We start from the raw sequence: 24,071 nt of genomic DNA on the forward strand, positions 1-24,071 counted from the left end.
AGCTTTCACTTTCCACCAAGTTATCTGGAAAGCAAGCAGGTATTAAATTGTTTCAAAATATAAATTCAACAGGATGCTCCAGGAAACAAACAAGATAATTTAACTCCATATCCCCAGTGAAAATTACTTAAAACCAGAACTGATTAAGTCTATTCATACCTTTCCATAGAAAAGACTGAAATATTCTCTTTACCCATTCAACTGCTCTCGGCTCTAAATTTTAAGTTTTCCAACAAATTTCACTGCACACATTGCCAAGCCCAGGATTAAATATTTGTTTTCACACTTCTCCATCAGGTGGAAAAAAAGATTTTAATAGCTGAAAAAAATTAAATAATATAAAATCTAATTAAAAAGTTGATCAATAAACGCTTGGCATTTGTTTTACCCAGGAGAAAAATAATCTTTAAAAAAGTATTTCAAAAGATTTTTCAACCAGCTTTCCAAAGATGTGTTATGGGTTTTTCCTTTACATGAAGAACACTTTTTTTTTTCAATCTCTATAGACACCATGCTTAATATGGTTTTTAATCACACGAAAATCACTTCAGTGGCACATCAATCCCATATTTTAAAATAACCATTTGAGCTTTTTTCTGGGGAAAGTATTTGCCACCTTTACACCAACCTGGATGCATGCTAGTTATATATCATTTCTTTTCCAATGCATTTTCAAGTTGGTTTATCACATTATTAGCAAGCTCATCAAAGTACAATAAAACAACACTGATCAGAATGAGAAAAGGGGGAAGTTCATGAATTCCATAATGTTGGGTATTTTAGATTTTAAGAAGCCCAAATATATTTCCATAACTACTTAAAGATCAAATTGCCCACATTTGAAAAAATATGTCTTAAAACAACAGGCCAGTCTACACAGTAGGTAATTTCTGAGTTATCCAATTCTCTATATTAACTCCACTAGGATGAATCCAGTGGCTGGGAGAATAATTTTTTGAAAATTCTGCATCCGTTCCTGTTAGTTTCAAAAGGTATCAAGCGCCCCAGCTACGCGTTTGGGATTTCACGAAGTATTCAAAGGAAAATAACTCAGAGAGGCGGGAAGAACGCACTTAAAAGTGACGAGCTTCCTAACCTCCTCCAGTTCCGAAGTTTCCCCGTGAGCTCATCGCTACTGCCCACTGAATGCTTCGTTTTGCAAACAGAAACGAAGTAGGAAAAAAATAAGTTCCAGCCTAGATCTGCCAAACAGGGGTCCCCCATCTAAAGTGGGCGGGCAAGAGAATTGCCAAAACACATCGGCTACAGTCACTTTCAAGTTTCTTGCAAAAAAGCGAAGACCAACATCCCAGAGAGTGACTCATCTGGGGGCTTTGTAAGCGGACTTTGTTTGCTCTCTCCACTTGGTTGGAGGAAACGTTCGAGGTGGGCGAGAAAGAAAAGCGCTTCGGGAGAAGGTCGGGCCTCCAGGAGTCCCGGCCCCCACCGCTCCCCGCCTGCCCCGGGCCGGCCCGGCTGGGGGATTCCCCAGGCTGAATGGGACGGCGGGAGAGCTGGACAGAGGGAGAAGGTGTCAGCTGCCAAGGCTCGGCTGAGACTTGGGAAAAAAAAATGTAAATCCAGTGAAAAAGTTTGGGGAGGGGATACACACTCACAACATCCGCCCCCCCAACTGGGTAAACACGAGAGGGGTGGTGGCGGTGAGGGGGAGTGGCGGGGAACCTGGGGATACCCGCTATTCGCGGGGACACGGGAGGGGGTCAGAAAGTCAACACACGCACGCACACACACAAAAAGACGAGGAAGGTGAAAAGAGAACAAGCGAAAGATGGATGAAGTGGCGGGGAGGAGACTCAGGGCAGGACCTGGGGACCTCCTCACCCCACCGTGGGGGACCGGGCCGGCACGCAATGGCCCAGCAGCCCGCGCTATCCAGCGGCCCGGCGCCCTCCTTTCTCTGGGCCGCGGGGTGGTGACAGCGACCGGCCTCCTCCCTTCCCCTTCAGAGCGAGAGGGAAGGGTGTGTGTGAGTGTGTGTGTGTGCGTGTGTGTGCTGGGGGGCCCCCGGGTTCACCCCGCGGCCTGCTATCTCCCCCGCACCCCGTGAGGCCGCCTCCTTTCACCTCAGCAGCCCCGCTTCGCCGGGGCGGGCGGGCGGAAAAACAAAGGGGGATTAAGGCCGGGCCGGAGAGCGGAGCCGGGAGGGAGGGGAGGAGGAGCGCCCGCCCGCCCGCCAGCCCGGGGCCCGGCCCCCCTGTCCCCCCCGTGCCCCCCCGGGGGGGCCCCCAGTACCTGGAACAGGAACGCGGTCCAGTTGGCCTCCATGGCTGCGGCGGCCGACCCCCCTCCTCCCCACTCCCCCCGCTCGGGGAGCCTCCTCAGCCGGAGGAGGCGACAACAAAGCGGCGGCGGCGGCGGCGGCAACGGCAGCGGCGGCTCCTCAACATGGCAGCGCCGAGCGCGGCCACTTCCGGTAACCTCCGGGACGCACCACCGCGGCGGCGAGCGCGGGCGGGGGGGGAGCCCCGGCCCGGCCGCCGCCGCCCCCAGTCGCCCGGACCCCCTCTGGGCGTCCCCGCTGCCGGCTCGCCGCCTCGGAGCTCAGCCAGTGCCCGCTGGCGGTGGGGTCAGGGCCCCCGCGGGGGGGCTGGGGTGGGGCCCGGGGCGGGGATGGGGCGCGGCGTCCCCCCCCGCGGGGGTGTGTGGTGCTGCGGTCCGTGGCTCAGGCAGCTGGAGCAGGGGGAGCTCAGGAGAGAAGATGGAGGACGCCAGGGTCTGGCGCTGGCCCGCTGGGCACAGCTGGGCCGTCTCCCGTGACTCAGACACGGTGTCCAGCACCGTCGCGTCCCTGTTAGACCCTCAGCGGAGGGCACAGGCCACGGCGGACACTCGGCTCTTCAGTCGCTCATGCACAGCATGGTCCCCACCTCCAAACTGGGGGAAGCCCTTTCGACTTCGAGCCTCTCTTCCTTTTGGCATTTCCTCCCCGGCCGGCTAAGCCCTCTGCGCTCTCGCTATGATATGCATCTCATGGCGAGATGGCCTTCCAACTCAAGCAGGGAATCCCACTGGGGTGCAGCCTCAGATCCTCTCAGTGTGGAGGGAAACACTTCCCACGCGTAGAGATGTCATTACTGGGTTATTCTTGGGTGAAGGGCTGAGCCTCCCCATCCTCCCCTTCACTCCAAGATAGGATGTGAAATTCTATCCCAACACCCCTCCTCTCCCGCCAAAAATAAAAACAAGTGAGATAGTATAGACAAATTATTTTAGTCCTTTAGTACAGTCTGTTTCCTCCTTCACCCCCAGAACAAAAATCGAACTTCTGGTTGGACAGCGTCAGATGTCACTGAGGTGACCCCAGCCTGTTTGCAGTTCCAAGTCTTCCGTGTAGGCGTCACTGCTACTGGAACTTTGTAGATGAGGAGCCTGTATGATGATGTCCTGAACATTTCTATCCTTTCCTCACACAGAGGGAAGCTACTGGGAATATCAGAGACAAGCTATTATTAAACAAGTGTCTCTAGTCCAAGACATCTCCTGTGGCAGGGAAATGAGGGGGCAGGCTGTATCAGTGATATTTTTATAAACTCTGGTTTTAGAAAAAATTCTTCAGATGGACGCATTATTTTAAGACTTTAACATTTTCCAAAACCAACTGAATCTTATCCCCTCCATTTATCCCCCTCCAGACACTTCTAATCAAGGTCACCATCTCCAACTTCCCCCATAGACAATAAAAATATGGCTGGAGAATTCTACTGTAATAGAAAACCAAGGAGATATAGTAATTTGACAGTGTGTTTCCTTTCCATCCACTAGACAAGAATACCCCCTCCCATTCTTTCCTCCCCTCAGTCACCAGAATGAAGGGGCTGGAAAACGTTGGTCTGGTTCCTTTTAGAGCTGATTCCCCATTGGATACTGCCTGGAGGCCTTGGGGATGAATGAGAAGTTCTGCAGTTTGGATCAGTAGCAGAAGCAGGTAACACATCAGGGAACCGGTCAGCCTAAGATAGGAGGGGACAGAAAATGATGAAAGAGTTTCTGATACATTTATCAGCTAAATTGCTATGGTCACCCCCATGTCTCCTGTAATGTCCAAACCTAAGGAATTAACTAAGTAAACTAAAACCTTTGTGTTCTTGCTCTGACCTTGGACAATGGAATTCTTCTTATTTTCATTCAGTGGATAGCAAATCTGCTTCTTCCCTGCCTTAACTCACTCAAGGTCTCTGTGATGCACTCCAGAGTTTTCCTCCTTCCCTGCATAGTCTTCTCCTCCCTAGCTGCCTTTCAAATTGGTGAAAATGAAGCTTCAGGATTATGAAAACTAGTACTTAATGAAGACCATTATTCTAATGACAATATCGCTGGACTCTTGAACTTGTTATGCTGGGATCTAGAAACCCTTTCCCCAGCAATCTTTCACACAGCACCTCTGGGAAGCGGTTTCCCACTAACAGGAAATAGAGGTCAAGTGGAAACAGTCCAGTTCTCATTACTGAAAAGCTAAGATTCAGAAGAATCACTTTTCTTGAGGAAAATGGCTAATTCTATTTCTATCCATAAGACAAAATCAGAATTGATTGCTCCTCAAACATTCTTTAAAAAAAAATTAACCTTTTAAGTTCATGTAAATTTTAAACACTGAGCTATTTTCCAGAAGGAAAATACTCAGAAGTTTGAAACAAGTACTCAAAAACAATCGGTTCCAACTGTTAGAGGAATATAATGAAACCAGTATGATCAAATGCTCCATCCTTACCTAGAAGGGGCTATTTCTACTTTTAGGACAGAAAATTTCTCTAACCAAACAAAAAGGAGCTCTCTCCTTAAGTGAGCTTCCACAGACTATATACTGGGGTCCAGTCAAAAGACAGATGTCCAAAGACAGCAAATTCATCTAGATTATTGTAAACAATTTTCGGTGAGTGAGTAAATGGTATTACCTTCAGCCATGATGAATAAAGCATCTAAGCCAAAAATACAATGTGCCTACATCTACCCAAACAAAAGTCAGATCCCCAACTTGCCCTGTTCAGGTTCCTCTCTCCTCCTCCCACACTCCAAGTTGTATAACCTGTCACCTAACCTTTTAGGGTCTCAGCTTCCTCATCTGGAAAATTAGAACAAAATATCTACCTCACAATGGTCACCTGTGGATTTAATGAGAAATATGTGTAAGATGCTTAGAACATTTTCCAGATATATAACAGATGTGAAATAAATATTTTTATTGGTGTTATCGAGTGGTTCTAGATTAACTTTGGGGCTTGGAACTCTGCACATAAGCTCTGAGCCAGTTAATTATCCCTTTTACTTTCGCCAAGTGACAGGTTTTCTCCCATCCATTTCTCCTTCAAAGAGCCCTAAGGTAAACGGGCAAAGGGCTAATGACACATAACAAAGGAAGATGCCTATTAAAATCTGTTGTTCTAAACACAACTTTTAGTAAACATTAGAAAGCAACAGGATATTTCCTTCCTCATTTGGAGAGAATTTTAAAGTCCTGTGAATACATTGAGGATGTGGATTACAGACTTAGAATCCTAGGAAAAGAAAGTATCTCTGCCGTTGTCAATTACCTGTCCCCAGCTAAGACTGCTCCACAAACTAAAAACAAATCCAAAACTTTCAGTAGGGAATATCTAGTTAGAAGCTTCAAATTGGCAAGTTAATGGACCAACTCTTTATGCAAAAAAGCCAGAACTGACAATTAACAAATTTAATAGTAAAAATCAAGATTGCAATATTTAGAAATACCAAAAAGTATTGGCCAGAAAGAAATAACCCTTCCATATCAGCCTCAATACAATCAGGAGAAAAAGCAACATATTTTCAAAGTGACACCCCCCCCATCCCCCCTTAAATACTCCAAACTCCTCAGGGAGGAAAGCAGAGGTTATCTCCTCACTGCCTGAACTGGATAAGCACACTAAGGGCTTTGAAGCCATTTGCCTTTTGCCTTTGACCCATGTGGTCAGAAGTCAGGTTTGTGTTTCAATTCTACCACCTGAAGTGTCACCAGGAGTTATTTAACTGGCAAGGTGAGGAAAGGGAAACAAGAATTCTTTTTCCTGAATACCCATTTAAGTTCCTTGACAACTGGAACAAAGTCATAGAGAGCAAAGGGACAATGTAACAAATCTACCCATTTTCCTAGTAGACACTGAATTCAGCTGGTAGTCGAGGGCTTTTAATTAAAACATTTTATTGTTTCTAAGAATGTTCACACAATCCAAGACTTCAAAAATGAGTCTAAAGCCATGGAAACACATTTATCACCTTCATGCTTGTTGAAGGACACCAGCAAAAATCAATGCTAAACCTATCAGCTTCATCCATTAAAGCATTTGCATAGAGAAACTAACTTCCATTTTACAACTCTTTAATGACAGGGAGAATATCCAACAAATCGCAAGTAAAATAGCATAGACCACAAGGAAAGAAACTAAGACAAGTCAAAAATACACCAAGTAAGAAATTCAATACAACTGGAAAACATACTCATAGGCACCAACATTCCTCCTTTGGACACCTGTTCCTTACTGCCCTCAGATGCCCCAGGACAGGGTAATGGCTGAGCATGGAAAAAGTAGGTAATGGGTCACACAAACTTGGTGGTCCTGCACCAAACTACAAAGATTAGCTCAATTATAGCATTGTGCTAACAGTAAAAGTAGTAAAAAATAAAAAATTAAAAAAAATAAAAAAATAAACTAAATTCCTACACAAAGTTTCTCGAGTACAGAGGTGAATGTCTTCTCCTCGGCTACAGCCTCCACCCCAAATACAACCCACCAGTTAAGAGGGATAACACTAAACAATGCTGTTTAGTGTCATGTGCACCCATCTACATGACCAGAAAAATACTGTTCATATGCAAAAAAATTTACTAATTGTTAATGCCTGGCCAGATGTTCTTGTGAAGAGCAAGGCAGGGGAAAAACATGTTATCAAGTGAATACTCTATCCAAACTCCAAGAGAAACATCTCCAGTTTTTCTTCAGAGTCAATTTGATCTTCAACTGAGGGTCCCTCCATTCTTGGCAGTGAGAGGAACAGTGAATAATGAAAACAGGTGTTCAGAAACCTATGCAGTATACTCCCTGGGTAAGGAAGGTGAGCAGCAGTGACCTAAGACACTGACATGACCTCATGACTAGCAAGACCAAACTTTGAGAAAGCTGCTCCATTCCAGAAATCAATGCTAACAGATGGCAACACAAGGCCTAGATAAGATCTGGCTTAGGCTCCAGAAAAGGGAATTAACTTTTTAAAGGATGTTTCTTGACCTTGAGAAGTAGAAAGTGCCTAAAGGGCCGATCTGGTGGCTCACACCTGTAATCCCAGCACTTTGGGAGGCCAAGGCAGGTGGATCACCAGGTCAGGAGATTGAGACCATCCTGGCTAACACGGTGAAACCCTGTCTCTACTAAAAAATATAAAAATTAGCCGGGCATGGTGGTGGGAGTCTGTAGTCCCAGCTACTTGGGAGGCTGAGGCAAGAGAATGGCGTGAACCCGGGGGGCAGAGCTTGCAGTGAGCCGAGATTGCGCCACTGCACTCCAGCCTGGGCAACAAACCGAGACTCCGTCTCAAAAAAAAAAAAAAGTGCCTAAAGTTCTACATTCAGTCATCTGGTCCAGGCATAAAAGCAGGTGAAGGGGCCTGCTGCGCTGGTTATTAAAAGCTCTACACATGGACAACAGCTGTACTCAGCATCTACTCTTTAAGCTGTGAATAACACATCAAGCTTACCTGCTGCTGTCCACAAATACTACTTGAAGCACTTCACCCTTGGTTGCCTGAGTAGTGGCAGAAAGCTCTCTGCTAGGCCTGAGGGAAGACCAGAATTCCTAGAGGACAGGATAGATTTTGACCTGATGAACAATTATTAAGGTACACAGGGAAGAATCTAGATTTTTTTCCTTTGAAGTACCTTTGGTCTCTAACAAAGCACACAAGGCTCTATTCAACTAGCTGACAGAAGTTAATTAGCCCTCTACCCCAAGGGCCTGACCCTGCCCTCTGCTAGCTTTTTGTTTTACTGACCTTACCTCCTCAACTTCACCTCCCTCCTCCAGCTGTTTCCTCGTATTTCTGCAGCTTCCTCTTTCTTCCCACCTCTCCTTTCACTTTCTCCCCTTTCATTCAGAAATGAATGCTCAGAGAGCAGATGGCAAGTAGTCAACCCAAGCCAGTGAAAACACTTCCTGAGCACCTGGTACAAAGACCAGAAACACACTGTGGCTGCTGGAATACAGAATACACGTTATCCCTGTCTTTTAGCAGTTCATACTTTAAAGGAGAAAGGCATCATATACTTATTCCTCACATATGAAAAGATATTTTCAGGCCAATTTATTTATAATATGGGACAAAATGATTGTTTACATCAGAACTGATAACTTTTACTACTACAGTAATTTTTCCGTGGCCTCCTACATAGCACATCTAGTGAAACTGATTCTGAAGCCTGATGAAGCCCCATGTATGTTCTATACACTTTAGCTGAGGTGTTAACTCTAATCAGTTAAGAAAAGCACATGAAGAGTCCAAGTTGGTACTACAATGTGTGATTAGTCTTCTCCCGAGAGAACTGAGAAAATTCAGGTAAACTTGACTATTAGAGGGTAGGTTTGGAGTTTGTTCCAGTGATCTCCTTAAAAATGGCTTAGGAGTTTGAGATAAAACTCCTGTGGGAAACAAGGAGAAAGGGATGGGGCACAAATCCACATCTCAAATCAGTAGGTTACTCTTTAGCTGTTTCTCCCAGTGGCTTGAAGAGCCCTGGTAAACACCCAGTACTCGATATATCAAATGGACAGCACTCAGAGACAGCTCAGATACAGCCCCACGTTCAGGCTGTGGTGAGAATTCCAACCCAGAAAGATGTAGTGAAGATTTCCAAAGGCCAGCCAGGACACCCCAGGGACTAACTTCCCAGTTCATAATTTTAATCATCTTGAATACAAAACAAAGACCTCTCTAATGTGGACTCTCCTTAGAAAAATGGCTTGTGTTTAGAATTATCCCAGAACTATTATGGAAGCATGAGTATTTCAGTAAAATAATTACTGAGCACCTACTAAATGCCAGGAGCTGTACTGTCACTGGGGATACTTCTAAGAATCTTCTCTACTGAAGAAACCAAGCCTTGCAAAGAAATAATTATAAAACAGTTACAGACATTTGTACAAAGTGCGTAACGAGCACTGGGAAAGGAAATTTTTAAAGGGCTATTTGCTCATTTGTTTTCATATAAGTGATAGTTTTGACACTGTAGATTACCAACTAGGGTTGCTGAATACAAAAACTGATACCTAAGAGATAGTATGTGTAGGCTAAGTGTAATGCAAACATTTTTATTGGAAACTGGAAGTTACCACACATTGGCTTTTAAAACTTAAAATTCCTAGAGTGGTTCATTTTTGTGGATCTGTTACTAATACAAATTTAAGTGTATACTCAGCTATCAACACAAATGCAGATGTTTTAAACATTTACCCTTTCACAGGTTCTTTTCTATGATTTTTTTGTGGGGCTGCTGTGTAGTTATTGAGTGGCTAGCCAGGCCCCAGCCACTGTGTGACCAGCTGTCCTCCTGTGGGGCCAGCCTCAATAGTAGGGGTCAAAAGAGGGCCAGGGCTTCTCTGAGAGAGCTGGCTGTGCACTGCACACTGGAAAGCCAAGGAGCTAGGCATCCCTCTTTCTTGCTGCCAGGCTCTGGAACATGGCCACTGTGACTAGATGTAGTCCTACTCTAGAACAACCCTCAGCACACAGGGTAAGAACATGGATCAAAGACAGCACCATGGGACACCCTGCTGGCATCTGGTAGATATTACAGGTGTTTCTCACTTGGGTCAGACTTTTCTCCCCGAGGCCTCCCAACTGGAAAAAGCAGGCTGGCTTTAAAAAGCAACGTGATAGTAAAACAAGAATTTCTCACCACAAGATCTGGATTCAAGTTCTGGGCCTGCCCCTTTAACATCTCTGGGCCTATTTCTTCAAACTGCAAAATGAAACTAAATACTACGTGAGAATTAAAATGAGCCACAGTATCAGGACTGGGCGCAGTGGCTCATATCTGTAATCCCAGCACTTTAGGAAGCCAAGGTGGGAGGCCTGCTTAAGCCCAGGAGTTCAAAAAGTCTGAGAAACAGAGCAAGACCCTGTCTCTACAAAAAATATAAAAAAGGTAGCAAGGGTATAAACCTTTGAGGTTACTATTCTAAGAATATGCATGATCTGACTAAAGAACACAGTGTCTCAGATTTAAGCTATGTGGCACACCTGCCTAAGATTTCAATAATGTATTTATTCACAAACATTTATTAAGGTGCAGGTACTAGCATTCTGGACATCTTAGAAGAAATGTCAAAAAGTTTAAAACATAAGACTTTGGGGAGCCGGGCGCGGTGGCTTATGCCTGTAATCCCAGCACTTTGGGAGGCCGAAGCGGGCAGATCACGAGGTCAGGAGTTTGAGACCAGCCTGGCCAACATAGTGAAACCCTGTCTCTACTAAAAATACAAAAAATTAGCTAGGTGTGGTGGCAGGTGCCTGTAATCCCTGCTACTTGGGAGGCTGAGGCAGGAGAATCGCTTGAACCCAGGAGGTGGAGGTTGCAGTGAGCCGAGACTGCGCCACTGCACTCCAGCCCAGGTGACAGTGCAAGACACTGTCTTAAAAAAAAAAAAAAAAAAAACAGCCTTTGCTCTCAGTTTACTATGTAGCTGAAGAAAACAAAGCATACACATTAAACTAGAGAACAGCTTAAGGGCAACATGTCCACCTGCACATATAGCACTTTTTAAAACATGAAGAAAAGCAAATAAGAAACAACGCAATTAGTTCAAGAATGCTTCAGTCATTAGGTGTGATCATGAAGGGGTGAGATTTTTAATGGCAAAAGGAATGGGGCTGCTTATGGGATTTATGATGTGGGGTGTTAAAATGTATGGATGCTGGGTCTCTTGGTTTTGAGAGAATTGTTTAAGCTAGCTGATCCTATAAACCTAAAGACCAGGGTCAGGGTCCTAAAGTTAATGCTTAAGACTCCCAACCCAAGGAATAATATACATGCTATCTAGTCTCTTCACAATACATCGTTATGTATTAATCTCTTTATGAATAGTTACCAACAACAAAAAAACAACCAAAATGATTCCATCCCAAAGAGAAATATGCAGGAATTCTCATTGAGGCAATACCACTAAATTCTGAGGCAACTTAAAGCTTCCTCTGTAAGAAGCTTAAAAGAGAATGACTGAAAAAGGATACCTAGGAGGCAACTATTTAGTCTTTTTGGAGACAATGTCATCAATTCTTGGTGATCTGTACTGAAAGTGTGCACAGCTTACATCAAAACCACTTACTTTGGTCTTACAATTGGTCTTACTTTGCAAGACCAATTCTGGGAGCAACATTTACTTATCCAATTATACTTGGACTTAGGCTAGCATTTAGATTAATTCAAATTTTCTGGCTTCACATCTGAGGAGTTATTAGTATTAAAATACCTTCTCCAATAATCCACCCAGTTAACGAATAGCTTGTGAAACAGACTTCTACAGTGCTTTGCTTTTAGGGAATACTAAATTCTTCCCATCTCGCCCATCAATATTAAAACTGTCAGCACTGCATTTAGCTCATTGGGAAATATAAATATATTCAGTTCCTGGGTCTGTAGAGTTAAAAAATACATGTATTTACCAAATCAACCAGGGTAGGGGAAGATGTGATTGAGAACAGGATAAATTGGAAAGGTAGAATATAACCCATTGTTAACTCATATTAAGGGAGTGACATGTTTTAAGGATCTGGAGTCACTGAAACCAGCTTTAACACTTCAGTAATATGAATTTGGGTACAGACAAAAATGCTGATATGGCAACTGGAGATGGGAAGACAAATCCAAACAGCATCTTGAAGAACTCTATTTGGCAAGTAAACACATCTCTAGGTTAATCTAAATCATAGATGCGGTGGCACCCTGAAGACACAGAACTTGACTATCACCTTGCTGCAAATTTACTATTTTTAGAGTACAAAGGAGCCATTTGAGTTTTCTTTGGAATGTGCTTGTTACACTGCGAACCAACATTTTACATTTCTAGCCTTAAGTTGTGGATGTCAGCCAGGTGCGCTGGCTCACACCTGTATTCCCAGCACTTTGGGAGGCCGAGGCGGGCGGATCACTTGAGATCAGAAGTTCAGAGACCAGCTGAGCCAACATAGTGAAACCCTGTCTCTATGAAAAATACAAAAATTAGCCAGGTGTGGTGATGGGCACCTGTAATACCAGCTACTTGGGAGGCAGGAGAATCGCTTGAACCCGGGAGGCGGAGGTTGCAGTGAGCCGAGATTGTGCCACTACACTCCAGCCTGGGTGACAGAGTGAGACCCTGTGTCAAAAACAAAGACAAAAAAAATGTGAATGTCACTCTTGGTGTTATTTTATAGTTCAAATTTCTACCACCGTTAAGGGTAGAAGACATTCACCCAGCACTTCCCAGTCCTATCTAAAGGTTATACCTTCCCTTTTGCTTGACTGATCCTATAATCTTATGTATTAAGCCTTAATAATTGTTGAAAGCTTATCCCAAAATGACATATAAAGACTCCTCCTCTAATACACAGCACCTGAGGGAACAATTCTACCATGGTTTTTCTTAGCACTTTACAATCTCCAGGTTTAGCACTTTTCTTTCTACAAGGAGAATTCTGAATTTTCATTTGCCTAATTTGTGGCTTCAGAGTGCATCTTCAAAAGTTATTTAAAAATTATCAAAGGGACACCAGAGCTAACATTTACAGGATTAAAGACAGGCTTCAATCTAGTTAGTGCCCTTTCAGCTGTCAATCCAATTTGCAGCAAGACTACTAGTTAACAGTAACTACCTTCTGTAGCTTTCCTTGCTACTTAGTGTTACCTTAGCAGGCAGGGAAATCTCTACTGTGTAAACTTGATTACTTTTCCCCCCACAAGAAGTCCACTTTGTCCACTTTTAGTGCTTTATTCTTTGAAACAGACTGATTTTCTAAAATTAACATTTTAAGGCCAGTTGTCCCACACCTGTCTTCTGGATGACTAAATCCCATCATATGGGCCTAAAAGGTTTAGTATTCTCAATGACAATTTATACTGTAAACAGGAGACAAGTTTGTGTCCTTTCCATTTTTTATAAAAGAAACCTGGGGAGAAAGCGGTGATGGGAATGACAGATACTAAAAGTGTTAAATTTTCAGTAATTTTCAGCTGTTAATATGGCATTAACTACTGTGTCTACTGACTTTTTGATCACAAGACAACCTGCTACTTAAGTGAGGCCTAGAAAATAGAAAACAGCTAAGCTGACACATAAGTAGGATTTTAAGACAAACTTTAAGAACCTCTTAGTAATACTGAGAAGATCATCACACCTGAAACTGTCACTCCATAAAAGCAAACTGCAGGTCTCTAAAAGCATATTCATTTCTTCTAGTTCATAACCAAATTGTTATGTCTAGTTTTCCCCAGCACACCTAACTCCTGTTCCCAATTCTCACATTCATGGCCTTATTATTCCATACCTGATGTACAAGGTAGGCAGAAAAACAAGCAGACTTATGTCTTCAGTATTTTCTTAGTCCCAGAACCTAGATTTGTTACAAAATGAGTGCCTGTAAGGTAAACTCTGAAAACCTAAATGGATGCAAAAGCTGAAAAGGGGAAGAATTTTACACAAAAGATGGGAAGACAAAGGTAAAGTTGCAAGAAAACTTACCCAAACCATCTAACTTTAGAGCTGATACAGAGGATCAAGGTAGTTAGCTGGTCTCTACTTTGTTCTATGTATCTATAATGGGGATTATTTCCTGCTTAATTTTGTGTTATAGCTCCCTCTAGTGGCTAAGTGATTTTCCCTAGCACTTACCAATGGAGAGCAGTACAGCATGTTGTAAAAAAACCAAACAAACAAACAAAAAAAATTAAGACCTATTTCTACAAGTTGTTTTTGTTCAAAGTGCATTTGGTGGAGATGAGTATAGCATCCTAGAGAAGCTGTTTCCACTATCTTCATGTCCACAGTTCTACCAATAGTTGGCACTTATAAGTTGTCTGGTAACAGAAGTCTGATGCTTTTTAACCCGATGCTTGAGTATCAAGCTGAACTAAGTGTTGTTTTGCTTACCTAAACAGTAAACTTCTTATGAAAAGTCATGAATGACTTTTCACCCCCTGAAATCCCAGCCTAGCACCTATTAAAATGTTGTAAATTACAAATGTTATATTTGCCTAAATTAACTTCTATATGACAGAGTCATTTATTCAATTTTTATTCTGTGCATTAATGAAGCACGGAGTGATTTTTATAATAATTAAAAAATCCTTCCTTTAATCACTACAAGCTCACAAGAACCCTCAGGGTTGTTAGGCATTAGCTTTCAAAGCTACCAAGAAGCACCGTGAAGGTCTCAATAACAGGAATAAGTACTGGTTTAAGTATACTATAATCTCTTGGGGTTTGTTTAAAGCAAGTTACTTTTGGCAGCATTACTATTCATTCAATAGACAATCACGATAGACATAATGAACAGATGTTTCCTGATAATCTCTTTACTTCATGCCAATCCCAGCTTTTCCTATAGGATCTAATTGGTCAATGTTCCTTTAAGTACTGATACAGAAACAATAACTCAAAAGAATGTTGTATTGTACACTCTAGGATGCCTGAGTATTTGCTTCAATGGGATATAATTGTTGAGTCCACTATTACAACAGAATGTAAAGAAATGTGGGCCATACCTTTTTTTCTTGTGGCTGCTTCAGCCTAAAAAGATGGGGGAACTTAAAATTCAATCAACAAAGGATTCACAATAACAGGTTTTTCAGTCAAGACACCCCAGTTACAGACAAAAGCATTAGGCCTGTGTATGCTAGTACAGTTCCTACAATCCCTTATATGAACTCTTTGGAGACAGACATATCTGGGATTCAGAGCTGTATGCACTTTATGAGGTACATATATACCCTGTATTACATAAAACCCTCAGCAAAGTCTGTGGCAACTGTGCAATGAATAATGAAGTTCAACAGGAAACAGTTTAGTCACACTAAGTGCAAAATGAAGGCAGCAATTCTGGTCAGGGTTCACATTTAATTAGCTCAACAACAGAAAATCTTTTGTTTTCGTAGTTTTTGGATTTCAAAAAATGGATAAGAGACTGTAATCTGTTTTCTGCGTTTGCAGTCTTCATACTGTGATGGAAATAATGGTTATGTTACAACAGAACTTCAGTCTAACAGTTTCTCATCTTTTAATACTATTTATGGTAAATACATATATATAACTTACTTGCAATTTAAATTACAAAATTCATATACAAAGTAAGCAAAAAGGCACACATAAGAAATCCACCTTGACCACAGAAATGTGAAAACACCAGCCCTAATGACCAAGACAATGTTTCAAAGACAACAAACACCAAGAAAAGTTGAGATTCTACAATAAATCATATTAAACGCAAGCACTATGATGCACAGACGTGAGCACTGAATATTTACTAAAGCATAAAACTTAGGAAAAATCATTTTACGGGGAATCTATTCATATTCCAAACAGCATTTTAAAAAACATTAAACTTAGCTTAGTTTTAAAAACAAAATTCAGACCCAAACAATCAAGAACCAGAAAATGGGTTTCTTACCTTTTGTTTCCAGTAGGATGTGGGCTGAACAGCAAGGTGGGTTATTCAATCTGATGTTATGAAAAGTAATTGCTTCTTAAAGAGACTTAAGTTTTTCCTTGGTTAGAAAATAATTATAGGCTCCCTAAAATATTCTAAGGGGACATAAATAGGGAGAAGAGGGGGAAATTCCAAGACAGCTTTTGTAGTTTCAAAAGGGTGTAACTTTCTTCTAATAATTGCCAATACGGATAGAGACCTAAAGGTCCATTTTCTGAGACTATAAATAGGAGCAGTCCATACTTCCCATCACAGCTTTTAGCTGTCTGGTCATCTTAACTACAAAACCTATGCCCCTTTACCTAAGTAAACATTAGATCCTCTCTAATCTTCAAATTCAGCCTGTATAACAAGGAATACTGTCTCATTTCAATGTGAGGTTAGAATTACTATAACTTTTAGTAGAGCACATCTTTCAACTTTAAACACTCAAACTTGAGTGAAGGCCATTTACATTTTTTGGTCATTTCCAAAACATTCAATGAACACAAATGAACCAAAGTTTACTTAAGTCTAGCTCACATTAACCTTCCAAAATTATCATTAATCATTTATTTTCCCTTTAATAATCTGATGAATTTTTAAAATGTTCTACACATAAAACTTCTTAGAATTTCAAGAATGTCATGTAAAATTATTCAAATTTTTAAACAGTAAATCTGCCTTTTGGCCATTACATTGAATTCTTAGATAAAAAGAGCTACATCCTTAAACTTACACTAAGTACTTAGTGAAATTCTGCATTCAACTTAACATCCCCTCTTCCCAACATTCCACAACGTTCATTAAAATCTACCGATTGGGGTGACCTTACACATTTCTTCCACTACCAAGATTTCTGGTTTTCCTTAGGTTTTTAATTGTCACCCAAATAATCACCTTAAATTCAACTTCCAACTATGATTAGCACCCAAGGGAAATGTTAAAGTCTATTTATTTTAGGTCCCCTCCCCCAACCTAAATAGTACCAAGGGGCTGTCAGTAGACAAATACAAGAAGTAGCAGGCTAAAAGTTTTTAACTGCTTTGGTAGAGAACACCAAAGTTTTTGGTACAAAATAATCTTATGGTTGGAGAAGGGCTTATAAGGCAAAATTCTAAATGCCCAGCTTTTTATTAACAATGATTCATCCAAAGAAGCAGTTAATCTTGTGCACTCTTCCCTTTCAAAAAAGAAATGAGACTTGGGTTAAAAGTTCTACAGGCTGAGCATGGTGGCTCACACCTGTAATCCTAACACTTTGGGAGGCCAAGGCAGGCAGATCACTTGAGGCCAGGAGTTTTGGGACCAGCCTGGGTAACACAGAGAAACCACATCTCTACTAAAAATACAAAATTAGCCGGGCAAGGGTGGCACACACTTGTAGTCTCAGCTACTTGGGAGACTGAGGCACGAGAATCACTCAAATCCAGGGGTGGAGGTTGCAGTGAGCCTAGATCACACCACTGCCCTCCAGTCTGGAGAACAGAGCGAGACTCTGTCTCAAAAACAAAAAACAGTTCTAATACATCTGTGCTGATGTTAACATTTAATACTTACCTTTTTTTGAGATGAGTTTCATTGAGAATATCAAAAGCTATCTCCAAGTGAACATTAGTAGCCATCAACCAATTTTGCACAAAAGCCTATGTTGTCTATGACCACCAGAAAATAAGCAGCATCTATAGTTTTTTAACCACTTTATAACAAAGTAGAGAAGCTTATCTTTCAGATGCTAGATCCATCCCCCACCGTCATTTACCAAGTTACATACACAAATGCCTTATTCTCCCCTTTTGCTTTCCCCTGAAGACTTTTACAATTAACAATAAAAGATGGCTAATACCATTAGATTGCCTTTTAAGAACTTTTAATTTGCTAACACATTAACACAAGAGTCAAAATCTTATCTTACTTAACAATTTAAAGATTAACTGATAGACCCAGTTAGAATCTTACATGAAGAGGAAAAAGGACAACCATGCATAGTTTTTTAAAAAATGTTTATTTTTTCAAAGAAAACGGCAATAGCCAATTGGAAACCTACTTATTCTTCAACTCCAATTTTGTTTTCTTTAAATTTAGAAGTGACTTACTGATTTACTATTTTAAACAAACCCCCCCTTTCCCCTTTAAATGTTTACCATCTACTCGTGCTGAATCCTTCCAAGGAGATTGCTCCAGCGTTTATCTCCAGGTCCTCGCTTTGCTCCTTTTACCAAAAAACGCAAAACACAATTCCATCGTGCATCTTAAGGGCTCCAATCGTCAAAAATAGGAAAAAAAAAATCTTTGGAATAGCCAATTAAGTTGAATAAAAAAATCCACACGAATGCGGTTTGGTTGGGGCAGGAATCCACTCCTATGTTCCTGGTAATCTGATCCCGCTCCATGAATCCTGGTAATTCATCCTCCCTATCCTATCCACATTATGATTTGAATCCAATGATCCAGCTCCAAGGATTGGGATCCAGTGAGCCCTCTCCAATCCAAACCTTTATAACCAGCAAAACCAAAAAAGAGGAGGCAAAATGTTAGATACTGTAATCAAAAAAGGTTTCTGGGGAATGATGAGTTATGTCTGTCATCAGTTTAACAGATGCACATCAATAACTATCAAATTCCCCAAAACAAGTTTCTGAATGGTGTTCAGATAAATTTTAGAAACTTAATCATCATAGAGACTAATTGGAAGAAGCATTTTGTATTTACAGTTCAACTGATAATGCCAACACTTGTTACTGTACAGCGTATTACAGGTTTCGTGGTTGCAAGAAGTTACGTAATTTAAGTTTACTGGCATTGCTACCCACCTAAGTCTAAAACTAAATCTAATGCTCCCATTTGCAATTTAATTTGTAAATTAAAGTCTTTTAAACATATGAACCAATTATGAATATTAGTTTAAAGGGGAAGGTGAGACTTAAAAGTATTCCCAACTAGATTATCTACACCAATACATTGGAACTCTATATTTTGCTTTCATTTTGTCTTAAAAAAATGAAATAGCAACGCTCTATCAGTCACACAGAGGACATGCAGATTTAGCAGTATTGATATTATACTCTATCTTGTTGGATTTAAAAACACCCTGTACCCACATGTACACCAACAGCAGGTCACACATTAACAGTTGTAACTAAGCACTGTGACAAATTAGCCAGTTCTTCCCACATTAGTCCCTATTAAAACAAAAATGGGGGGAAGGGAGCAAAATAAGTTGCTACAAAATGGGCAATATAATTTTGCCACAATTGCCAAGGTTTAAAAAGCAAAGCAATTGTAGCTAAAGACAACTGAATAAAATGTTTGCAAGTGTTTTAAGGAAAATGTATATAATCATTTTTAACCCCTGCCTTTTAGTATAAGGTCAATACTGCCAATTTCATCTGTGACAATAGCACTTGGAGTCATACCATTGCCTCCATTATTGATCTGATCCTCCTCAATCCTCCTTTTGACAATCCTAAAATGATTGAAATGTGCTCCACAATCCTTAATCCAAAGCATTCTTAATCCATCTCTTCAGATATGTCTACAGAAAGACACATGAAAAGCAAGATAAACATAAGAACTTCCCCAGGTAAGATAACCACAAACACCCCCAACATCCCAGTTCACACAAACCAGGGCAGATAGACATTTACACAATATCACAGTCTGAAGAGTATGGAGTTAACTAAATTTAAACAATCCTGTCTATGACATCACTTAAAATACAATTTATCAAAGACACGAAGGGAATGTAGATGTTAGGAGCAAGGGGATATTACAAGAATGCAATTCAACACTTTAGCCCATTCTGAACAAAACAGTTTGAATTAAAAAATGAAAAGATTGTACTGAATAAAGGAAAACTGTATACAACATGGGTTCTACAAAAAGTGTCACCAATCATCTTATGTACGAGAGCGAGATCTGCTATGACGGGGAGAATAGCGTGGTGATCCTCTGCTTCTCCTTGGGGAGTAACTGCGACTCCTGCTGTTGCTTCTGCTACGGCTTCTGCTACGACTACGGCTTCGAGATCGAGATCTTCCATAACTTGGACTTCTGGGCCCATCAACTTTAACCCGGATGTAGGCAGTTTCTCCCTATTGGATAGACAGAACTTTCCATTGAAAGATCTAAGCTTTCATCTATCTTCAGACATGCTGAATGAATACAATGTAACTAAAACCAGAAATCTGGCAATTTACTTGGACAACCTTGCCTGAATCCTTACCTTGAAATTCCACTGTTAAGACCACTGTATCCAATTCTGGTCAAAGAAAAGAATACGTGTATAACCTACCTCATGAGATCTAAACTTAGTGTTATCCAGTTTTCGAACTGCATAGGTCATATCTTCTTTCCGTACAAACTCCACGACACCAGTGCCATCTCGGTAAACATCAGCATAACATACATCACCTGCTTCACGCATGTGATCCTTTAAATCCTGCCAACTTCCACTTGGAGGCAGTCCTGAAAAAGTGATTTTTTTTTTCTTAGTACCAATTATCTTAAATTTCACGTTAAGCTGGTAAGGTACATTAGGACAAAGAGTACTTTAAAGTACTTAATAGGTGTACTTAAGTGATACCAGGTAAAGAGAGCTGGTAAGATTCTGGAATCCAGAGTCCAAAATTATTTGTAACGATCTTCGTATCTAGTACCGCAACCTAATTTGGTAAATCACCACAGCAGCAATCCTCGTTTATTAAATTCACCCAAAAACTAAAGCAATTTAAGACCTAGCATGAAAAATTTGCAATTATTAAACCTGTCACGCAAGAGAAAAATTTTAGGTAGTTTTCGTCCCTTCACATCAATCCACACAACCAGTACACTCACCAGAGACAACCACTCTGTTTTCAGACCGCCTGGATGGGGGGCCATAGCGACCTCGGGGAGCTCCGCCACCTCCACCCCCGCCGCCGCCTCGGCCTGTTCCACGGCCGCTTCGAGGAAACTCCACCCGCAGACGGTACCCATCGTAATCATAGCCGTCGCGACCATACACCGCGTCTTCCGCGTCTCTGCGGGATCGCAGAAAGTAAAAGGGATGAGAAACACCAGGAGGAGAAGCTCGCTCAGTTGGGAACCAGCAAACCCCCCGCACATGCGCACCCAACGTGGAAGAGCCCACATGCGCCGCATAATAGGAATGGCCCCTCCCCCACCCAGAAACACGCCAGGCTCCCAACCACTACACCAGCCCTCAGCGCCTCAGTTTCCCGCTCCAGCCTGCGAATGGGCTCCGGGGACGTCCAAGGCGAGGCGCCAGAGAAGCCACATCAACTCAGCTCCTTACTCGACTCCTGCATGGGCGATACAGTCTCGCCCCAACCTCTCTAAGAGCCCCCGCTTCCCCGTTCTCTATGTTAAGGCCTTGGAGCCTTCCCCAACTACTCGGACCTATTTCCTCAAGGCTGCAAGCCCCATGCCGCCTCACCGCGGGTCCTCGAACTCAACGAAGGCGAAGGGCGGTCCCCCGCGGCGATTCTTGAGGTCGATGTCGCGGATAGCGCCGTATTTGTAGAACACGTCCTCAATGTCCTTGGTTCGGATGTCTGGAGGTAAGTTACCCACGTAGATGCGGCAATCGTTGTTCCCTGCGGGGCCACGAATCACACCACCTCCCGACATGGCGGTGACGAAAAGCGCGGACTCGAGAACAGGCCTTCCCACCAAGCCTAGCGCACGGCAGAGCGAGCCCGCAGCGGCACCACGTCTCCCGCGGCCCCTCCAAAATGGCGCCTTTATCAGCTCGGCGCACGGATATGGGGGGGAGACAGAGGAAGAGAAGCGGAAGGAAACAGCGATTCGATCCCAACACGCACGCGCGGGAGCGCAACGGGTGCTGCGAGGGCTACGTTCAGCGCACGCGCACGCACGCGCGACGTCACCCTCCCCACGAAGGGGGTAAAAAAGTCCCCCGCGTTCCCAGCTTGGGGTGGTTTGCGAACAGAGTGACCAGCCGTTTGGTAAAAGTTAAATAACGAACTTTCGTTAAAGGAGCTAGTCATCCAGGTCGGGTCTTGAAGGATGGTCGATTTCTCCAGGAATGAGGATCTTTGAAAGCAACTCGGCGCCTTCAAAGCACTTGGTGAAACCTAGCCTAAAGCGTTGTCCCACCATGCTCTGCGGCGATAACGGCCTTTGGCGGGAAAGAGTCTCGGAGGCGGGGCCAAAGGGGGACGGCCCGGGCGGTTGCTCCGGAAACCCGGGTATCTTCGTAGGGTGCGTCTAATCCAGAGCTGAGTTGCGGGTGATTGAACGGAGAGCTGGGGCGTTGGTTTGTCTTCCCGCCCCTGCTGCGAATAGACCGTGGCTGCTTAGACAGATGTGTCTAATTTAGCGAAACCGATTTAGATTCCTTAATCCTCTTCATTAAGTACCGTTCCGCCTTCTCGTCAGAACTTTGCATAGCTCGGGTCAGCACTCCTAGTGCTAGTCGCAGTGGGTCCGTATCCCGACCGGCAACGTGGTACCCGCCAACCAGAAGGGGTAACACCGTACCGCCTATGGGACCCACACCTTTTTATCTCTTGTTAGTCGCCTGTCCGTGGGACTAGCGCAGAATGCCTGCAGAATGAATCGTTTCTGTTGTTTCCTTTCAAAGAACGAGAAGGAAGAAAGGGTGCGTGTGTGCAGTCCTTTTTTCAAAAGTTTTCCCTAAAAGTTACTGATACACCAGGTTTTGAAAATACCGGTCCTCTCAGGTAATAAAATGGAGCAAAATGGATGTGAGAACCGTAACCACTAGATACCGCGGTTGCTATTCAGGACTGTGATCCTGTTTGCCTGCGGCATTGGGAGATAACATTTTACATTTTTTTTCGACGTCTGAAATCTGGATTTTTATGTGAAATCCTGGGATTTTTAAACGTCGCTAATGAATTAAAATTCAAATCAGGCTGGGCGCGGTGGCTCACGCCAGCACTTTGGGAGGCCGAGGCGGTTGGATCACTTGAGGTCAGGAATTCGAGACCAGCCTGGCCAACATGGTGAAATCCCGTCTCTACTGAAAAAACAAAAAATTAGCCGGGCTTGGTGGCAGGCGCCTGTAATCCACTCTACGCGGGAGGCTGAGGCAGGAGAATCGCTAGAACCCTGGAGGCGGAGGTTGCAGTGAGCTGAGATGGCGCCATTGCACTGCAGCCTGGGCTACAGAGTGAGACTCCTCCAAAAAAAAAAAAAAGGAGGGGGAAACAACAACAAATTAAAATCAAACCCTGCAGTCATAAATTTGCCATAACAGATCTACACACTGAATTTAAGGGATAATTTTCTTCATGTTATTTATTTACAGTAGTCCCTTTCCGCAAGGATGTGAGGCAACTTACAGAGATACCATAAAACATGAAAACTAGATGAGGCTGGGCGTGGTGGCTCACTCCTGTAATCCCAGCACTTTGGGAGGCCGAGGCGGGCGGATCACCTGAGGTCAGGAGTCGGAGACCAACATGTCGAAACCCGTATCTTCTAAAAATACAAAACATTAGCTGGGTATGGTGGCGCGTGCCTGTAATCCCAGCTACTCGGTAGGGTGAGACAGGACAATCTCTTGAACCCTTAGGAGGTGGAGGCTGCAGTGAGCGGAAATCACGCCACTGCACTCCAGCCTGGGTGACAGAACAAGACTCCATCTCACACACACACAAAAAAAATGCTAGAGTAAGAAATCAGAGGAATGGGAAAATGAGGGGTGGATTAAATGAAATACGCATAAATTACTATACAAAATGCCTGCAGTGAAAGCCCGTTGAATTTGTTGAGATAGATTGCAAATTTTACTTTAGTCTTCCCAGAAGTCACGGTAAAGAAGGGTACAGAAGTATTGTGTATTCAAAATCCAAAGTGCCTTTGGGATAAAAGTAAATAGGTCATTCAGGAGAAGGACATGTTTTCTTAATTCTAAAAGCTGATGAAATATATTTTACAAATGTTTCTCGGTGACCCCAAAATACAAATTCAATTTGAAATGAGCAGGGATGCTTGGTCTTGTGGCCGTAGATCCTCGGTATATCTACAGATGACCTTTGGTAATCCTTGAGCTTTCTGTAATATTTTCGAAAATTATATGCATGTGTGCATGTACAAAATTATATGCATGTGTGTACTTTTTTCTGGGAAGAGGATTTGGAATTTTAATCAACTTCTTAAAGGAGTCCATAGATCCCAAAAGGAAAAAGAACTTCTGAAATTTGTCAAGGGAAGGATAGATTGCCTATTCTTCAGACCATCCTTTAAGTATATATATAGATGTGTGTTTGTGTGTGTGTGTGTATATATATATATATATATATATATATTTTTTTTTTTTTTTTGAGACAGAGTTGCCCTCTGTCACCCAGGCTGGAGTGCAATGGCATGATCTCAGCTCAGTGCAACCTCTGCTTCCC

At 42.6% G+C, this 24,071-nt stretch overlaps 2 protein-coding genes and 1 long non-coding RNA gene across 19 annotated transcripts in view, besides 11 other annotated features; 1 reads left to right on the top strand and 2 right to left on the bottom strand.

Moving 5' to 3' along the window:
• Positions 1 to 2,429, bottom strand: part of VEZF1 (vascular endothelial zinc finger 1) — a 16,703-nt gene extending 14,274 nt beyond the window's left edge. For 3 of the 7 annotated variants that reach the window (NM_007146.3, XM_005257643.2, NM_001330393.2), the window contains exon 1: positions 2,254 to 2,429. In NM_007146.3, the coding sequence (NP_009077.2) occupies positions 2,254 to 2,286 (33 nt within the window). In that variant the 5' untranslated portion in view covers positions 2,287 to 2,429. Of the gene's footprint in view, positions 1 to 159; positions 2,126 to 2,253 lie in introns of those variants that run through there. The other 4 variants (XM_017025018.2, XM_047436662.1, XM_047436665.1 and 1 more) reach the window with 2 other exon arrangements.
• Positions 1,692 to 1,761: a silencer, noted in NCBI's record as "silent region_8754". NCBI's record gives its function as "represses an Ori minimal core promoter by ATAC-STARR-seq in GM12878 lymphoblastoid cells {active_cell/tissue: GM12878}" and the evidence as "EXISTENCE:reporter gene assay evidence [ECO:0000049][PMID:35858748]".
• Positions 1,842 to 2,321: a silencer, noted in NCBI's record as "silent region_8755". NCBI's record gives its function as "represses an Ori minimal core promoter by ATAC-STARR-seq in GM12878 lymphoblastoid cells {active_cell/tissue: GM12878}" and the evidence as "EXISTENCE:reporter gene assay evidence [ECO:0000049][PMID:35858748]".
• Positions 2,285 to 5,209, top strand: LOC101929185 (uncharacterized). Its single transcript, XR_001752716.3, has one exon. It is a non-coding gene; the product is annotated as an uncharacterized LOC101929185 (long non-coding RNA).
• Positions 2,392 to 2,671: a silencer, noted in NCBI's record as "silent region_8756". NCBI's record gives its function as "represses an Ori minimal core promoter by ATAC-STARR-seq in GM12878 lymphoblastoid cells {active_cell/tissue: GM12878}" and the evidence as "EXISTENCE:reporter gene assay evidence [ECO:0000049][PMID:35858748]".
• Positions 2,822 to 2,871: an enhancer, noted in NCBI's record as "active region_12455". NCBI's record gives its function as "activates an Ori minimal core promoter by ATAC-STARR-seq in GM12878 lymphoblastoid cells {active_cell/tissue: GM12878}" and the evidence as "EXISTENCE:reporter gene assay evidence [ECO:0000049][PMID:35858748]".
• Positions 2,892 to 3,031: an enhancer, noted in NCBI's record as "active region_12456". NCBI's record gives its function as "activates an Ori minimal core promoter by ATAC-STARR-seq in GM12878 lymphoblastoid cells {active_cell/tissue: GM12878}" and the evidence as "EXISTENCE:reporter gene assay evidence [ECO:0000049][PMID:35858748]".
• On the bottom strand, positions 3,213 to 21,421 carry SRSF1 (serine and arginine rich splicing factor 1). 11 transcript variants are annotated; one of them, XM_047436527.1, is made up of 9 exons: positions 21,119 to 21,421; positions 20,518 to 20,702; positions 19,976 to 20,148; positions 19,098 to 19,775; positions 12,266 to 18,176; positions 7,726 to 7,823; positions 5,057 to 5,120; positions 3,824 to 3,971; positions 3,213 to 3,444 (listed from the first exon to the last, which is right to left on the bottom strand). In XM_047436527.1, the coding sequence occupies exons 1-4, from the start codon at positions 21,310 to 21,312 to the stop codon at positions 19,581 to 19,583; spliced, it is 747 nt and encodes a 248-aa protein (XP_047292483.1). In that variant the 5' UTR covers positions 21,313 to 21,421; the 3' UTR covers positions 3,213 to 3,444; positions 3,824 to 3,971; positions 5,057 to 5,120; positions 7,726 to 7,823; positions 12,266 to 18,176; positions 19,098 to 19,580. The 11 variants fall into 11 exon arrangements, 9 of the variants coding, with proteins under 9 accessions (XP_047292483.1, XP_047292482.1, XP_047292480.1 ...); XM_047436526.1 differs by lacking the exons at positions 5,057 to 5,120; positions 7,726 to 7,823; XM_047436524.1 differs by lacking the exon at positions 7,726 to 7,823 and having other exon boundaries at positions 12,266 to 19,775.
• Positions 9,850 to 9,899: an enhancer, noted in NCBI's record as "active region_12457". NCBI's record gives its function as "activates an Ori minimal core promoter by ATAC-STARR-seq in GM12878 lymphoblastoid cells {active_cell/tissue: GM12878}" and the evidence as "EXISTENCE:reporter gene assay evidence [ECO:0000049][PMID:35858748]".
• Positions 19,032 to 20,231: an enhancer, noted in NCBI's record as "BRD4-independent group 4 enhancer chr17:56082218-56083417 (GRCh37/hg19 assembly coordinates)". NCBI's record gives its function as "activates an origin of replication core promoter dependent on BRD2, P300/CBP, MED14 and CDK7 cofactors, and independent of BRD4, by STARR-seq in HCT116 cells {active_cell/tissue: HCT116}" and the evidence as "EXISTENCE:reporter gene assay evidence [ECO:0000049][PMID:35650434]".
• Positions 20,563 to 20,612: an enhancer, noted in NCBI's record as "active region_12458". NCBI's record gives its function as "activates an Ori minimal core promoter by ATAC-STARR-seq in GM12878 lymphoblastoid cells {active_cell/tissue: GM12878}" and the evidence as "EXISTENCE:reporter gene assay evidence [ECO:0000049][PMID:35858748]".
• Positions 20,883 to 20,932: an enhancer, noted in NCBI's record as "active region_12459". NCBI's record gives its function as "activates an Ori minimal core promoter by ATAC-STARR-seq in GM12878 lymphoblastoid cells {active_cell/tissue: GM12878}" and the evidence as "EXISTENCE:reporter gene assay evidence [ECO:0000049][PMID:35858748]".
• Positions 21,056 to 21,774: an enhancer, noted in NCBI's record as "NANOG-H3K27ac-H3K4me1 hESC enhancer chr17:56084242-56084960 (GRCh37/hg19 assembly coordinates)". NCBI's record gives its function as "activates a minimal SCP1, AML or CMV promoter by ChIP-STARR-seq in naive and primed H9 embryonic stem cells {active_cell/tissue: H9 hESC(naive and primed)}" and the evidence as "EXISTENCE:reporter gene assay evidence [ECO:0000049][PMID:30033119]".
• Positions 21,723 to 21,772: an enhancer, noted in NCBI's record as "active region_12460". NCBI's record gives its function as "activates an Ori minimal core promoter by ATAC-STARR-seq in GM12878 lymphoblastoid cells {active_cell/tissue: GM12878}" and the evidence as "EXISTENCE:reporter gene assay evidence [ECO:0000049][PMID:35858748]".

This window comes from Homo sapiens, chromosome 17 (genome assembly GCF_000001405.40).
Source record: "Homo sapiens chromosome 17, GRCh38.p14 Primary Assembly".
Taxonomy (NCBI): domain Eukaryota; kingdom Metazoa; phylum Chordata; class Mammalia; order Primates; family Hominidae; genus Homo; species Homo sapiens.

What these genes read in the sequence shown, in the direction of transcription:
- SRSF1 (XM_047436526.1), bottom strand. Translation starts at nt 21,312, where the DNA reads ATGTCGGGAGGTGGTGTGATTCGTGGCCCCGCAGGGAACAACGATTGC. An exon ending in GTTGAGTTCGAGGACCCGCG is followed by an intron (nt 20,703 to 21,118) that starts GTGAGGCGGCAT and finishes GCGATCCCGCAG; the next exon opens with AGACGCGGAAGACGCGGTGT. An exon ending in CTAAGTTTAGATCTCATGAG is followed by an intron (nt 19,776 to 19,975) that starts GTAGGTTATACA and finishes TCTATCCAATAG; the next exon opens with GGAGAAACTGCCTACATCCG.